The sequence below is a fragment of the Homo sapiens genome, chromosome 13 (assembly GCF_000001405.40).
Source record: "Homo sapiens chromosome 13, GRCh38.p14 Primary Assembly".
Taxonomy (NCBI): Eukaryota; Metazoa; Chordata; class Mammalia; order Primates; family Hominidae; genus Homo; species Homo sapiens.
The window spans coordinates 66,653,301-66,671,374 of NC_000013.11; the positions used below are offsets into that span (position 1 = coordinate 66,653,301).

An 18,074-nucleotide genomic window follows, 5' to 3' on the forward strand; every position below is an offset into this window, starting at 1 on the left:
CAAGTCAACAGGAAAAAAACCCTATTAATCTGATTGTAAAATGGTCAAAAGATCTGAATAGACATTTCTCAAAAGAAGACATACATATGGCAAACAGGTAAATGAAAAGGTGCTCAACATCATTGATCATCAGAGAAATGTACATCAAAACTACAATGAGATATCATCTCACCCCAGTTAAAATGGCATTTTTCCAAAAGACAGGCCATAACAAAATGCTGGCGAGGTTGTGGAGAATAGGGAACCCTGGTACACTGTTGGTGGGAATGTAAATTAGCACAATCACTATGGAGAACAGTTTGGAGGTCCCTCAAAAAAGTAAAAATAGAGCTACCATATGATCCAGCAATCCCTCTGTGAGGTATATACCCAAAAGAAAGAAAATCGCCGGGCACGGTGGCTCATGCCTATAATCCCAGCAGTTTGGGAGGCCGAGGTTGGCGGATCATGAGGTCAGGAGACCCAGACCATCCTGGCTAACACACTGAAACCCCGTCTCTACTAAAAATACAAAAAAATTAGCTAGGCGTGGTGGCGGGCTCCTGTAGTCCCAGCTACTTGGCAGGCTGAGGCAGGAGAATGGCTTGAACCCGGGAGGCAGAGCTTGCAGTGAGCTGAGATCGTGCCACTGCACTCCAGCCTGGGCGACAAAGCGAGACTCCGTCTCAAAATTAAAAAAAAAAAAATAGAAAGAAAATCAGTATGTCAAAGAGACATCTGCACTCCCATGTTTATTGCAGCACTATTCACAATCGCAAGGATCCAGGATCAACCTGAAGTGTCCATCAGCACCCAATATGTGGTACATAAACACAATGGAATATTACTCAGATAAAAAAGAATGAGATCCCATCACTTGCAACAACATGGATGGAACTGGAAGTTATTATATTAAGTGAAATAAGCCAGGCACAGAAATACAAACTTCAAATGTTCTCACTTATCTGTGGGAGCTAAAAATCAAAACAATAGAACTCATGGAGATAGAGCGTAGAAGAATGGTTACCAGGGGCTGGTAAGGGTAGTGGTGGGGGTGGAGACATGGGGATGGTTAATGGGTACAAAAATATAATTAGAAAGGATGAATATAATCTAGTATTCCATAGCACAACAGGGAAACTACAGTCAACAATAATTTATTGTATATTTTAGAATTACTATAAGAGTATAATTAGATCACTTACAACACAAATAAAGGATAAACACTTGAGGTGAGGGATACCCAGTTATCCTGATGTGATTATTAAGCATTGTATACCTGTATCAAAATCTTATGTACCCTATAAATATGTGCACCTACTGTGTACACACAAAAATTAAAAATTAAAAATTAAATACTGAAAATTCATTTGAGTTGACATATAGAAAAAAAGACAAACAGATATACTTGTTGTTTGTTGTTGTCTGTTTGTTTGTTTGTTTGGTGACAGACTCTCTCACTGTCACCCAAGCTGGGTGCAGTGGCATGACGACCTCAGCTCACTGCAGCCTTTGACCTCTTGAGTTCAAGCAATCCTCCCACCTTAGCTTCCCAAGTAGTTGGGACTACAGGGGTATGCCACAATGCTCAGGTAATTTTTGTTTTTGTTTTTGTTTTTGTTTTTTTGTAGAGACGGGGTTTTGCCATGTTGCCCAGGCTGGTCCCTAACTCCTAAGCTCAAGCAATACACTCACCTTGGCCTACCAAAGTGCTAGGATTATAGGGGTGAGCCACCATACCCTGTGGCATTTTTTTTTTAAATAATTAAAAAATGATTCTGTAGAAGTGTTGATTGTCTGAAAGGAGTTTTCCTGAAGGCCTTTCAACAAGTTGCATTTATGCTCAGAATGTCTTCTTTTCTGGGAACTACAGAAGACAAAAAAAATGGAAAAGAAAATAAAGAATCACAGCCTGAATTTCAACCATGAAAAACAGTAGTTAAGAGTGAGTGAGTACTGTGTGACAAATGGTAAAACTCTTTTTCTGATCATGGGTAAAATAAAATAAGGCCCAAAAGAGCTGTACAGAATAAGGACTAGAAAGGAGAAAAGTGCTTTCCAGCATTTCTTTATTCTCACATGGGAAAATATTTAAATATTAATAATTTTAAATAATAAAATTCTTAATGTTAAGGACTATTCAATGCAATGAAATGCTGAAATAAGGCAATTTTGGCTAGAATATTTTCCAATGTAATCTTTTTAATGTGCTTTTTCTTCATATAAAGTCAGTCCTTTAAAATATTTAGCTTAACTATATTTTTAAAATTATAATGCATGAATTTAATATAATCTGAGTGTAAAATGATTTATCAAGGGAATATATATATTTATAAAAAGTGTTAAGACAAATAAGGCTTAGCAATATTAAAATCCTAAAAATTATCATTGTACAAGTTATTTCTTAAGCATTTTGTCGATGAATAATTTGTTGCTATGGTAATTTGTAGGTATATTTTGACACAGCAAGAATGATATCTTTTGCTTAAATCAAAAAACATCCTAAAATGTATTTACTCCTAATTGTGTTTAATTTCATATTACAGTGATTAATCAGACTGAATGTCTTTATTTTCCGCTGTTCTAGCTACAAGAAATGATCTCTCCTGTTTTTATCCTATTATAAGGATCGTTATAAAAATGGAAAACAATTAACACAGGGTTTAATGCCTGAGTGCTATAGAGCTGAAGTAATTGCACTCAAGGTCTGCTAACTTTTTAATCAGGCATTTGGTTGCAAGCTGCTCACAATTGATTCTAAGAGAACTAACACTATCTGAAGAAGAAGGCAGGTGTGCCAGAAAAGCAGGCATGTTGGCAAAACAAATGAAATATTTTAAAAGGAAAAGCAAAAAAAAAAAAAGCAAAATCAAAGCAAACTTCTTGTCAGCAGGCCATTTTCTTGGCTGAGCCTGTTACTGAACAAAGTCAGTATATGCACAAGCACTGTGGTGGAAGCCCCACTGACCTGCTACTGCTTTCAAAGTGGAGCACTAAAGCTTAGCATTGAGGAGCCCTGTCCATCCCAACATTAGTGAATTGAGTTAATTAACAGAGAAGGCTTGCAATTTCCATATTCAGTAGAGTTAAGACACCATCAGAGGTTTCTGGAATTACATTCTAATTAGAAAAGTTTCCTTTTCTTCTCATTCAGGTTACTCTTTGAAAACAAATTTGTTCTTTCATAAAGGAAAAAAAAAATTCTGCAGTTTTCTTTTGAAAGCTAATTATTTCCTTTCTTTTTCTTTCTTTAATAAGTGTCATTCTCCAGCTGTGAAAGTGATGCCTTCTAGGCATGTTGCACATATTTAAAGGTACACATGTTGCTTAAGAGCACTGGGGGCCTTGGGGATGGTGGGGTGGGGGGGCGGTTAAAATGCCCTCTTCTGTAGTTTCTTGAAAAAGGAGCCGCTAAGAGTTAATACTCCTGTGAAAGTGCTTCATATTCACTAGAGAATATTCTGACAAGTAGGGGGATATTTACAAAATTCCAAGTTTGAAATTTTTTTATGATATGAGTTAGGTACAGTGTTGATCTCTCTTTATACAGAAAGAGGAAACCAAATGAAAGATTTGGGTATTTACCTCGTGGATTCCAAGACGCTTGCTATTTCTTTCTTAAATCCCCAGAAGGAAATGAGAGCATCTGAACTTTTAAAAAGGAGTATAAAGCAGAAATAGCTCTTGCAGCAGAAGAGCAAGTCAGAGCAAGAGGAACAAGGAAAAGAAAACAACAGAAATGAGCTTCCTCAGACAAAAGCCTATGTCCATTTTAATTACACCGATTTGCCTAGACCACCAGGCAATCTATGTTAGAATTCATTAGCGTGGCTCGGGGTCCAGAATAAGTTATACAGAGATCAGTGGATATAAAACATTATAACCAATTACACAAGTTTCTACTCCAGTTCCAGAAAAGTTATGGAAGTCTCAGTTCCTGTGTGTGCCATCACTTTAGCCTCCAGGAAGCTATCTCTTAGTCTCTCCTACTGTAAACATGTCTCCCTGAGTCACCACAGCATCTGTTGTTTCTAGGTGAAGGACTAATACAAATAACAGGGAGGCGCCTGGCATCTGGCCACCTGAACACAAAGTCACTTAATCATACGGGAGTCTCTTCATTGCTATGATCTCAAGCATTTCAGGAAGAATGCCAAATGGAGAACAAAGAGACTGGCAGGCAAAGAGCTCCTGGTTGCCTGGATTACGTCACAAGCATAGTTTTTGCCAGATTAACATCTATGCTTTTACTGACTCCAAATGTGACTTTAAACAAAAATTCTCATTCTCTGTGCAGTATTTTACAGCAATTGGAAATCCAGTATTGAAGCGATTCTTTGGAATCCAGCAGATCTGAATGATGGGTGTGAGTGCATGTGCATATGTGAATTATATTCTAAGAACTCGTGGAAATAGATGTCATAATATCTCCTCCTGCCAATGGAGCAGGGAACAACATCCTACACTCCTGGGCATATCTGTGAGTGTAAAGCATCACCACTTACAAGGATTACCTGTTTATTATGATGTGCATTATTAGCCTAATGCTTACTCTTTCAGAGCCTGCACATCAAAGAAATCTACAGTCCAATCGGCCCTCTGTGTTCCAGGGTTCTGCATCCTCAGATTCAACAGACTGCAGGTTGAAAATTCACAAAATAAAAATGCTTCTTAAAAAATGGCATTAAAGAGAAAAATACAGTGTAACAACTATTTACATAGCATTTAAATTTTACTGGGTATAAGAAATCTAGAGATGATTTTTAAAATATGGGAGGATATGCCTAGGTTATATGCAAGAACAATGCCATTTTCTATCAGGTACTTAAACATCTGAAGATTTTGGTATCTTCTGGGTTCCCAAAACCAGTCCCCCGATTGTACTAGTAAAACCTTGCTTTTGTTAGATTTTGGTTGTTTGAATTTTTTGTGTTGAGTGGAAATAATGAATACAATAATCAGAAACACTATTACTTTGAGATATGTTTAATTTGTAAGTAATGTTTATATCTCTTTGAATTTCCCAAGTTGATATAAAAACACATTTATTTTAGGTTAAGAGGTACCTTTAGCTTTTAAAGATTATTTATGTGTCTGTTCCAGTCTATTGCTTAAACTATAGAATAAACAATTCTTAAGGGTAATATTTAGTCATGATCATTTATTGGTTAATTTACTTTTTATTTTTATGTCCTTCCTCAAAACTTTCATGAATGTATATACATATAGCAATCAATTTTATCTTTTCTCTACAGCATTAACATGAGTTATCTTCAGATTTAAAATGCCAAAATCATTGTATTTTACAAACACAATTTAAACACTCATTTGTTTATTCACAATGTTTTCTTAAACATGTATCTATACATTCTAGGTTCAGGACATGCCACATAATCAATGTGCTAAGTAAGTATGATGTTGTAATTTAATTGTTAGAATTATTTTCTTAATGGTATATAAAATGATGATACTTTGTACTTTGCAATCTATGACTTTTCCTATCTGTTGAAATTCTATGTTGATATCCAAGAGGAGGAAAAGATCAGAACGAACATTTTTAAAGCATTTATTGTTTTCTGGTGACTACATTAAGAGTTTTATGTTTTATATCATATTCATCAAATTATGACTTAAGAATTAGTGTCTTCTTTTTGCAAAGGATAAAATAGACTTCAAGACATATAAAAACTAGCCTCCTCCAAGTCATATTTTGTAAGTACAATTGTCAGGATCAAATCCCTTGCTTATTTGCATATACTTTCTCCATTGCAAAAAACAAAACAATAAAACACAACAACAACAACAAAAAGCAAAGCCTAAATTATCACAGATGATGAGAAAATTAACCGAAATTAAAGAAATGATAATAATAACAAAAATATATTAAATGGCCAATGCAATGGAAAATCGAATACTCTTCCACTAGTTTATAAGCACCATGTAGACAAGGTCATGTTTGTTTCACTGTCAAATATATAAATGTATCCCTAGCCTTAGAACAGTGCTCAATAAGTATTGACTAAATCATAGAATTTGTCTCAAAGGCTTATTTTGTGCATGCACTAGTCATCCAAAAAGAGGTAAAACACCATTAGGTTTCATCAGACTTGATAATAAGTTTCACTACATTTTATATCCTTGGGGAGGACCAGTGCTCCAAGTCAGAATGACTTACAGAAAAACAACTGCTAAAATAGGCCTTGGAACATTTGAAACCAGATACAGTTTAATGTGGTTTATCCCTCCACTTAAGTTATGTTTGTGTGTGTGTGTTTGTGTGTGTTTGGTAGAACAAGCAAAGAAGAGGTTTGCTTAATCTTTCGCAGGTTTTAATTTTCTTCTCCAGTTTTACATCACGTGAATCCTGCTGCATCTTCCCTGAAAGACTTTTTAAACATTTTTTTTTTCTGTTACTGCTTCTGCCTGCTCAGCCTCCTTCCCCGATCTCTTAATTCTCTATATCTTCTGTTCTCAACTTAACTCCACCCATTAAATCATCAAAGAAGCTGATTTGGGGTGTGTGCCTGTGTGTGTGTGTTTTAGCTTATTTTTAGCTAGGACTAGCGCATGTACAAGTGGCCAAAACTAGTGAAGTATAACAAGTTAACAGCAGAGTCAAGGATGACACTATTTAAGGTGCCATTGCTTTGCATGACACTGAAATAAGCTTATTAACTGCTGGCGAATTCTAAGCTACACCACCTCAAAGTGGTAAAGATTTAAGTCTTTCCAATGTTTGGAGCTAAACGAATGCCTAAAATCTTTCTCTTTTTCTCTCTAGCTTTTCTCGGAGTTGAAAGTGATAACACACCACCACATGGTCAAGTGAATCATAACCTGCTGGGGCTTGAGGTATGGAAGACGAACAGTGGAGGAAAAGGTATCTTCCAGCCTGGTGAAATGCCGTGGAAATGTGAGGCCATTTATTTTTTCTAAATGCCCCAGCAACAGCTCTCATTCACTTGCAGAAGCAAGAGCTGTTCTGACTACTCACAGTATATGGTGAGATCTTTATTTCTTTGCCTTTTTTTTTACTGTGAGTTTCCTTTTTTGTCATCATTGACCTTATAATGAATCACTGCACTGTCTGAGTAATGAGGCTGCAGTAGATAAGGTCTCCTGAGAATATGAAGGAAGAAGTATGTTCAGCAACTGATTACTGACTTATCCACCTGATTATAGTGACCAATCTACTCATATATCTGATTTCAAATGCCCAATACAATGTTAATAATCTTATTAAAACTTCTTTGCAGTAAAAATCAAACTTCTTTGGTTGATGTTTTTTCTTAAATTTTTAAATTCTAAGTAGAGCAGTAGTTTTAAGATTGCACAATACAAATATTTTAGTGATGCTTCTGGAAATCCATCTAGCAACTTGTTATTTACAATATACTATTAGTAGTACATTATAAATAACTGAAATCTAAAACATAATTCATAAGGAATACAGAAAGAAAATAGAAGGGAGGATATCAGTTTAAATATCATATTTAACAATTTGATACTTGGAAACAAAATAGTTAAAATAATCAATCCCATTTTATTTTCTTTTTACATTTTATTTTCTTTTTAAGAATTTTGATTTGCTTCTGGAAATATTTTATATTTTAGTGATGTTTCTGGAAATCCATCTAGAAACTTGTTATTTACAATATGCTATTAGTAGTACATTATAAATATCTGAAATCTAAAACATAATTCATAAGGAATACAGAGAGAAAATAGAAGGGAGGATATCAGTTTAAAATAATAATTTAACAATTTGATATTTGGAAACAAAATAGTTAAAATAACGAATCCCATTTTATTTTCTTTTTAAGAATTTTGATTTGGTGACATGCTGGTTTAGCAATAGCCATAATTATGCTGCCATTTCCTGTTTCCTTTATTAACTAAGAATTTCAAGATGAAGAACCTTATTTCTTATAGAAAGTTAGCTGAGCATTTTCCTTTCCCTTGTTGGAACTGAAGAATTGAGATAACTCAGAAACCTAACACTTCGATATGAGTTCTAGTGCTAGGAGGATGAGTGTCCTTCATTTTGATCTTTGCTAACTTTAAGTGACACTTCTCATTACCCCTCACCAGCTCTTCCCCAAAGCATCCTGCCTTTTCACAAGCTGTGAATGAGAACTCTGACTGGCGTTACCAATATTGTTTGCTGAGTAATAGTTTGTTTTCAATGTGCGGCTTCAGGATCATTTACTAATTAAAATTGCTTTACCACTGAGAGGTCCCCTGAGGTATGCCCTTGTTTATCTGGATTATACCATGAAGTCATAGTTGAATCAATCCTTAGACCATAATTTTCTGCTAATCCAAATGAAAAGTTGGAAATAATAAATTGATAAAACTCACACAATTTTATCAGCACACATGTACAATTAGGTTTATCATAAATCAAATAAACACAAACACAGATATCCAATCTGACACAGGAAGACAAAGCTTAAATGTGGAGCAATGGAACTATATGACTAACTTTTAAATATGCTACTGATAAAGGGGGAAGGGTGAACTTTAAAGAAACTGCATTTTTCTAGTCAATTTGTATTTATAATCAAAAAGTTCTGGAGTTATAATATCATAGCCTTTGGGCCTTATTTAACATATCCACGCTTTACGAAATCATCACTCAAGTAAACCAATAAAATAACTTAGGCTGACTTTCCCACAGGTTAATATTGTGACATGCTCAGGTCCTCAGTGTTACATTTGTTTAAAGCTGTGGCATGATGAAAAATTATCCTTTGTGAGTATGTGTGTGTGTGTGTGTGTGTATGTGTGTATGTGTGTTAGGAAGTGGGGATAAGAAAGCCTCAATAACTTTGATTGCTTCAGTGTAGCTAGCAACATCAAAACAAATATCAAGTATATCAAAGATGAGAACCTAAAGAATGTCACATAAGGCCGGGCGTGGTGGCTCACCCCTGTAATCCTGGCACTTTGGGGGGCTGAGGCGGGCGGATCACCTAAGGTTGGGAGTTCGAGACCAGCCTGACCAACATGGAGAAACCCCGTCTCTACTAAAAATACAAAAATTAGCCAGCCGTGGTGGCTCATGCCTGTAATCCCAGCTACTTGGGAGACTTAGGCAGGAGAATTGTTTGAACTTGGGAGGCAGAGGTTTCCGTGAGCTGAGATTGAGCCACTGCACTCCAGCCTGGGCAACAAAAGTGAAACTCCGTCTCAAAAAAAAAAAGAATGTCACATAAATGATTCAAAATCAATAAGGAAAATAAGACTTAAATATCAAACAACTGAACATGAACAATTCCTCTGATTTATATTAATTGTCCAAGACATTGAATATCCAGTGTCCAACATAAGGACTAGCTTGGAGCAGACCGTCATACATGTTTGAAGAGTTATGTGGGGAAACAATGGATGGGCGAATGAAGAAACAATGGGTGACATAAGGAGTTGGTGGTGTAGGGTTCTGGTCTGTTTTATTCATAGTTAATAACTCCAGTTCAAGGGCAAATAAGAGAAGACAAGAAAGTAAGGCCTAAATATTTCAATTTTAAAACATAGTATGTTATAAGAGAATTAGTAAGTAAAACTATAAGAAAGTGAATGAGTAGATAAGACATAACTAATTGAAACACTTCTATCATAGATTTCTAGCGGGCTGTATCATTTTCTATAACTATACAATATCAAGAGTTCCCTTATAGATTTAAAAAGAAATAACAGTGTATATATGATGCTAAATGACACAACTCAGTATCAATTGTTTTACTTCTTTTTCCCAATTAACTATAAGGAAAAACAGTCTCTATAGGAGAATCTTAACACTACAGCTTAAATGATGTGAAGGGAGATAAACAAAAATACAAGTAAATTGTCAAGTTCCTGTTTAGGTTGTGGACTTAATGATACTGGCTTATGATATTTCACAAGTGTTTTTGGGAAGATTTCTCATTTATTCTATTTATGAGATTGATGTCCTGGATACTTAACATAAAAAAGTATATTTATCCAAAGTAAAACAAAATAAGTCCCTTTCACCATTAATATTTATTGTGTAGCTTAAATGCAGCAGGATTCTTCCAAATATGAAGGCAAAAAAACCTGGGCAGAACCTGACAGCCTAAGAGAAAAATGCTGCTGAATTAGCACTTTCCGAGAAGGCCTTAGAGACTAGACATATATTATCTTTGGAGTCAATGATAAAAAGAGATTTGAGAAATAAACGTGAGGGTTTTCATGACTATGCAATAAATACATTTTCTAACATAGAAAAGTGACCTATGTTCTAAAATGTTGTTAATTATATCTTCAAACAGATGGATGTCTATGTGTGTTTATCTGCATATATCTTGACACTAATGACCTGTAAATTACTACTGTATCTCCTGACACATGAACCAGACGCATGGAGAGATTCTCGATATAAAAATTAGTTAATCTTTATAAAAATCGAAATATCCTAAGTCTCTTTCAAATATAAGATTCACTCAGATTTACTCTGTAATTCATAATTTCCTCTTGTGAATTAGAGATGTGTACATGCCTTGAAGGTTCCATGGAATCCTTTGCAGATAGAGCCTGATCTAAAATGAGGCATATGTTAAATCTTCTTACACAAGGCCAGGCTCTCATCTTCCTCTGCACCCCACAGTGCTCATTCAAGTGAAGAGTCATCTTTGAAGGCAATTGTAGCTTCTTGCTTGGCTGAGCATCATGGAGCTTGGAGCAAGATAAAAAAGGAACTACAGACTTTCACCTAGAATTCTGCTAGCAGGACACACTGAAAACAGCCAGCCAGACCACTGTGGGATAAGTTTCCTATCCCTTTTGCCACATACAAAGTGTGATATATACTAATTGGCCTACAGTAATTTCCATCAAACAAATAAGAAAAGTATTTCCAATCATATCCAAGATTTATTTTATTGAAATTCTCTTCTGAAAAATTTGCCTGCCTACTTACACAATTATGCTATTTACAGTCTAAATAATTTTATCTGTCTTGGATATGCACAAATAAGACATTCACTTTATTAGTTTTCCTTAAAATAGCTTATAGCAATGTCATCAGGTTAAGAGAGGATTAATAGTAGTTTGTTATGACTTCCAGGAAAGCTGGAGGTTGAACATGGACACTTTTGTATCATAATCAGCAATTTTCACATCCCTTCCCAAACAGCAATGGGCTTTTTTTTTTTTAAACAAAGATTCAAACGCCTCACTCAATGCTACTAAACATGAATAAGAATTAAGGAATTGTTCACGTGATTTGGGTACATAATCAGGTTTAGGAAGCACTGTAGTAGACAACAGTATGACTCCTAGAAACTTATATGAATTCAGGAGAGAATTCATGTTTAAAGTTTATTTTCCAAAAAATGGAAAACGTGACTTATTTCTCCTTTAAACTATGATATATATTCTCCATGGACAATAAAATCCTTAAAGAGACAGGCATAGTGTTAACATTTTTAGCCTGTATGTGTCCACTCTATGCACTGTCTCCCCTACCCATCATTTCCTCTATATTCTCAACTTTACCTTTTGTTTAGGCACTTACACCCTCTTACCTGGCATGTTCCTAAGGCTTCATCCCATCCCTACATCCCATGATACCCTACCCCCAGTCTCCCTTCACTGCAACTTAAAAAATAACTTTCCTAAGGCATAGATAAAACAGACCCTGTCCTGCTAGTCCCTACATAATAAAATGCAGTCTACTTACACAAGCTTTGAAGCCCCCAATGGAAAAACCCAGCTTAACAGTCAACACTGTTTTTCTATTAATTTCCTATACCAATAATATCCTTTTGCCAAAATAGAAGGCTAAGGACTTTTTCTTTCTTTTCTCTCCTTTTTTTTTTTTTTGAGACGGAGTTTTGCTCTTGTCGCCCAGGCTGGAGGGCAACAGTGAGACCTCGCCTCACTACAACTTCCACCTCCCAGGTTCAAGCAATTCTCCCGCCTCAGCCTCCCAAGTAGCTAGGTGCCTGCCACCATGCCCATATAATTTTTGTATTTTTAGTAGAGACAGGGTCTCACCATGTTGGCCAGTCTGGTCTCGAACTCCTGACCTCAGGTGATCCACCGCCTCGGCCTCCCAAAGTGCTGGGATTACAGGTGTGAGCCACCGCGCCTGACCAGAAAGCTAAGGACTTTTCTAATGACATTCCACATTTAAACAATCCTATGCGTTTTCCCTTACTGTTTTCTTACCCTATTTGGTACACATATTTCCCAGCTTTCTGCCCAAATCCTGGTAGTTCATTAAGGGCCATATCAAATTCTGCCTGGACCAGGAAGACTTCCTTGACGCATCCAATATACATTGTTTCTGTGACTTATTAACTTGCTTTGCTTTGCCTATGTTGTTATTTTGTAATATACCTCTGGGGCACATGATGTAGTCTATTTTTTAATGTGGTCATCTTATGTTCTGTGCTGTGTCCTCTGCACATGCTTTCCAATTGTGTGAGCTCAATGTAATTTTTAAATTTAATTATTGAGTTTTTTTTAGACTAATATTTTCATCCTTCACGGAAGAGTAAATACATGCTAGAAAGACTGGTTTACTTAAGGTTTTGAGAGATACTAGATTAGGGTAGGAAATTATTCTCCACTAAGGGTAAGTAACGAAATGATTTTCCAAAACCATCCACTAAAGAGGGACATAGACAGAATTCAAATAGCCTCAAATAATCAAGCCAAAGATTTCTCCTTCAGGCCCATTTCTGAGACCTTGGGTGAAACTCAAGAGAATACAGCTGAATTAGAGGCCTGAAGCAAGTGAACAGATACTGTTGCAAATGAATCCAAGGCTAAGAACTGAGCATGCCACTGTGTGTGAATGCAGGAGCCGTGACCAGAAGCCAGGCTTAGTCAGAAACCAAGGACTGGTAGCCATGGCAACAGGGGCACATCCAGAAGTCAGAGCTGGAAAACAGAGCAGGTCAAACGTGGAGCAGGCTTTTCGCTGGAGTAGAGAGGTGATGCCAGCAGACCAGACTAGGTGGAGGCCCTGGGACACTCCATGGTGCACAGGCAGCAAGGGAAGTCCTGGTGCCCGGGCCAGATGGCATTCTGCTGGATGTCTGGTCGTGGTTCCAGCTGGCTCAAGGTCCCATTTGCTCCTCATGCCACAGATTCCTCTACCTGTCTTCTGATGTTCTGTGTTTTTTTTTTCTTTTTTTATTTCTCCATATTTTGGATGCTCTCAAAGCAGCCTCATGAAACTATTTTGCCAGAAGCTATGTAAGGTGACCCCACTTGTAGAAATGCCAGAAGTAAGTTAAAAGGTAGGTTTTGCTCTTTACCTAGAAGGAGACAATAAATCTTTCTGTACCCTAACAAAATAGTCCAAGAATTTTGTCTCACTACCCTGGGCAATTCCAGAATGAGTTTCCAGAAGAATTGTTCTACAATATGTCAGAAATACTGTATTGTTATTAATACTGATTCAAAATACACTAAATAGACTACTGTGAGAATCAGAGATCTTCACATTCTATTAACTACTTCCTTATAATGACTTTTATTGATATGGTTTTGACTTGCTATATTTGAGGTATGAGGCAAAAAGATTTGAATATATGAAATATATTAACAGTTATATTTGTCTTACCAACTTTCTGAAGTAGGTTATTTTTATCACCCTCCTCCTCTTTTATATTTAAGAAAAATAAAACCTAGATACACTTGTGGACCAAATAAATGTGGAGTTAGATATAAAGAAGGAATCTGTAATGGTAGCCTTAGATTTGAAATAGAAATAATTTTTTAGGGACATCAAATTTTAGAACTTGTAGGGTCACTGTCAGCACATTTAATCTAAAAATATGAACAGAGTATGTTGAGAAAAGAAAGGGAAAGAAAAAAAATCTGATAAAATGGATCTAACAGTGGATACAAAATGGCTGTGCCTGATAGTCCCTGGTTTGAGGATTGTGGAAAAAGAAAGGGAAGAAAAGGCTGGAAGGAGAGAGGGATGGAAAGAAAGGAAGTTGGCTGAGAATGTGTCATCCCTGTGAAAGCTCTTTCCAGTCACAAATGTGGTGGTTCATGAGAGTCTCGTTATTTCTAAACATTTGGATATTTTATAAAACATCCATAGTAATGGAAATATAAATATGCTATTTTACAGAATGGATGTTTACACAATCTTAAAATTTTATTTCCTTATTTTTTTTCTCTCAGTGCCTTTTGAGAACCTGTTGAAATCCCTCCAGCAAAATGCAAATGAGCACAGAAACCTGCAAGTACTGTACCTAGGCCCATGGACCTAGTGGAGCTGATGGATCATAGGTTAAGAACTCCAAATTTATCGTGTTTTATTACTTAGTAGCTTTTATAACTCCTTTTGAATTATGAAATCATTCTAGGCTCTGTCTACACATAAAAATTGGCATATTTGAACTTGATCTTTTTGCCATAGAGGACTGCCACCATTTTACTCCCCTAAATACATAATTTATTCCTGACATCTAAAATACACATCTAGTATTATGCACAGTATTGTGTTATATATTATTATAACTTGCCAATATAATTTGAAGGGAACCTATACTTAGCTTCACAACTAAATCAATCTTAATAAGTATTTGTCTAAGTAATATTAACTAAGTAGTGGGGAAAAAACCTGCAAATGTGTTCATGAAGCATAGATTTAAATAACTGTAATTTAAGCTTGTTCTAAAGATTTATGACCAATAGTAAATAAAAAGAATTATGTATTTCTTTGCACATCTAATTTTACAGTGGAATAAACATAATGAATAAAATCCACTGAATGATTTGAAACAATATGAGCTTCAGGAGCTTGGGAATTACTTATTTGTTTCTCTGTCTCTGTAGATTCTACAGTTTGAATTCCTAGTGGCCTGAGTAAGGCAGATTCATGTGATCTGAGTAAGGCAGATTCATGTGATCATTTTTCTGTCTCTTTGTTTAGGACAGTTTGAAAAGGTGAGTGACAAGTATATAACCAAAACATTGGCAAACCTTTCTTATAAAGGCATGGCTTTTTTAGTAGCATACATGATTTTTGTCAACAAAATTCATATTCAGTCACTTTTCTTCTGAGAGTTTTTCCAACCTTTCTTTGTCATTCATCTCTCCTACTCTTTAGGAGCCCAAATGCCACAAGATTTTATTTTGCTCATCAATGTCACATCTTTGATGGCACCTAAAAACTGCTCTCCACTGAAGGAACCTGAATCCTGAAATCCTGGTAATTCCTTCATTAGTGTCATCCAAACTTCATTCATAAGTGAATTCACTCGTTCTTCATTCATTCACTCAAAAACTAAGTAATCTAAATAGCCCCCTTGTTTGATTTAAGCAATTCATAGTAAGATGTGAAAATCTTGGTGAAATATAGATGGTAATATGCAGTGGTGACCGAGAGAGCCCTCTAAAAATTTCCAGAGAATCTGGCTTTCATCAGTGAAAATTTGGGGAGCAACTTATTGAAAATCATTCCTTCTCTGAAGAATCTCTCTCTCACTTCTTTGCAAAGATATATGTTGAAGGTTTAGTATGCATACGTCAGTTCATTATAATGCAGAGGTATTTGTATTGTTAGCCCCAATTATTTTTAAATCTAGAGTCTTTAACAAGTTTTACTCTTTCATAGTAGTATTATGGTCTCAGGTTTGTTTTTAATAATTTCTACTCCACTGCTTTAGAATAACTAATTTGATAGACCTAGAATTTTCATCCTCTCTAGGAAAATATTGCACCTAAATATGAGATTTATTTAATCTTATGTTGCATTTGGCTTTAAATTTGACTTGACCTCATTGAATCTATTTTAATTGTTTTACATCTTCCTGTAAGCAAATGGAATGTCTACATGTGCCCTTGTGCATCTCAGGCTACATCATGAATTTTGTTTCCAGCATTTCACCTAGAGAGATAAAATTTAGTTCCTAATTGGTCTGAGACACAAAGAATAAAAACGTAAAGCTAACGCTACCTATCTCCTAATTTCTATCTCTCCATATCTATTTTGTTCTTTAAAAAATGTCTCATAGTAACTTTTCAACCTCAGCAAACAAGTATGAAAACTCAGGTTGTTTTCACTCTGAAGATGAACCAGTTTCCAGCCATTGTGTTTTATGTCGGAATTGTCTAACTTAAATTGCGTGTCCTTGGGGCAGAGAGCAGTCTTCTATCTTTTTTTTGTTGTTGTTTTAACAGAGCCAAGTATTCTGTCACTGTTCTACAAAACAATAAATAATGAAGTAAATTGAAGATGTGTGAATTGTGCCAGCTTGACAGAAAATGGAGCCGATGTTCTCAGAGGTGTTACAGCAGTATTTCCTAATGAGCAGCCGGAGCCTCTCTCTAGCATCTCAGAAAACCAAATGGGAATGGAGGATAAGAAAGTGGAAGTAAAGACAAAAGGGAATATTTATTTGGGATTAACTTGTAGTTACTTGAGCTGATACACCTATACTAAAGGAACAAAGGAAATGATGGATCTTTTAACCATCAGGCTTATTGTGTAAACATCATTCTCTTTCATTCCACGGTGGGAAAAACAAACCTTTTCCTCAAATTTGACTTTGTATATAAAATGTGTTAATAAAACTAAATGTGTTTTAACAAATGTGTTTTAATAAAAACTAACATATTTAATAAAACTAAAAATAAATGATCATATTTGTTCAAAAGTTCTTACTCTTTTGTTTTTTTGTAAATGAGGCATAAAGAGCTTTGTGCACTTCAGTCTCCACCAAAAGGTACCTCTAAAAGAGGACTTCCTTGAACACCATATATAAACTAACTCTGATCCTCTAGCTCCTCCCCAAAGTCACTCTTCCTCTATTCCGTGTTATTTTCCTTATCAAATTCACCACATCTGAAATTATGCGTTCAGTTTTTTTAAAAAATATTATATCACATTATGAGCATATGCATTTCTGTGATGGAAATGTCTCTGTCTTGTTTTGCTAGCACCTAATAGAATTCTGCAACATAATAGGTTTCAGTCAATATTTGCAGAAAAGTAAAAGACATGCAGCTTTAAAATAACCTAAGTGGTCTAAGTAATCAGTACTTTGGTAACCCTAATAGAATGTCAGTAATATCACTAATATCAATGAGATATCCCTAATAGAAAATATGGCATAGAGTATTTAGTCAATATATGATGAAAGAACGAAAGAATTGAGAATTGAGATAAAAGCTGTATGGACATCATCATCTTAATTATAAATTTTGATCCTAAAATTTAAAGAGGCATCTTTTGAAATACAGAAACTTATCCAACTTGGTGGCATGCAGTTTTAAAAAGTATGTATATCTATATATTTATACCTTACAGCAGATGATTGGTACTCAGTTAAATGAGAAGAGGAAGGGAAGTGTAAGGAAAGATGAAAATTGTAGAACACTAACTAAAACAGAAAAGCATATTCTACCTAATTTTGCCTGTTTTCATACATTCACAGGTACTGATGATATATTTGGAAAAAATTTCACATTATGTATTTTAATGATGTCCATATGTTATGGATTGAAATGTGTTCCCCCAGTCCTAAGCCCGAGTATCTGTAGAAATGTGAACTTAGTTGGAAATAGGGACTTTGGAGATGATTAAGTAAAGATGAGATCATTAGGGTAGGCCCTTATCTAACATGACTGTGTTCTTATTTAAAAAAAAAAAAAAAAAAAAAAAGGAAGTTGGGTGATATGGTTTGGCTTTGTGCTCACCCAAATCTCACTTTGAATTGTAGCTCCACATGTCATGGGAGGGACCTGTTGGGAGGTAATTGAATCATGGGTTGTGTTTTTCCCATTCTGTTCTCATGATAGTGAATAAGTCTCAAGAGATTTGATGGTTTTATAAAGGGCAGTTCCCCTCTACATGCTCTCTTGCCAGCTGCCATATAAAATGTGACCTTGCTCCTCCTTCGCCTTCTGCCACGATGGTGAGGCTCCCCAGCCATGTGGAACTGTGAGTCCATTAAACCTCTTTTTCTTTATAAACTATCCAGTCTTCGGTATTTCTTCATAGCAGTATGAAAATGGAATAATACAGTAATTTGGTAGAGTGGGGTACTGCTATGAGGATACCTGAAATGTGGAAGCGACACTGGAACTGGGTAACAGGCAGA

General features: G+C 35.6%; 1 protein-coding gene and 1 long non-coding RNA gene across 6 annotated transcripts in view; one reads left to right on the forward strand and one right to left on the reverse strand.

Annotated features, from left to right (window-relative positions):
• Positions 1-6,845, forward strand: part of LOC105370247 (uncharacterized) — a 99,761-nt gene extending 92,916 nt beyond the window's left edge. The window contains exon 3 of the long non-coding RNA XR_007063818.1: positions 6,761-6,845. This is a non-coding gene — a long non-coding RNA (uncharacterized LOC105370247). The remainder of the gene's footprint in view (positions 1-6,760) is intronic.
• Positions 1-18,074, reverse strand: part of PCDH9 (protocadherin 9) — a 927,503-nt gene that overhangs the window by 350,467 nt on the left and 558,962 nt on the right. The gene's annotated exons all lie outside the window — the stretch shown is intronic.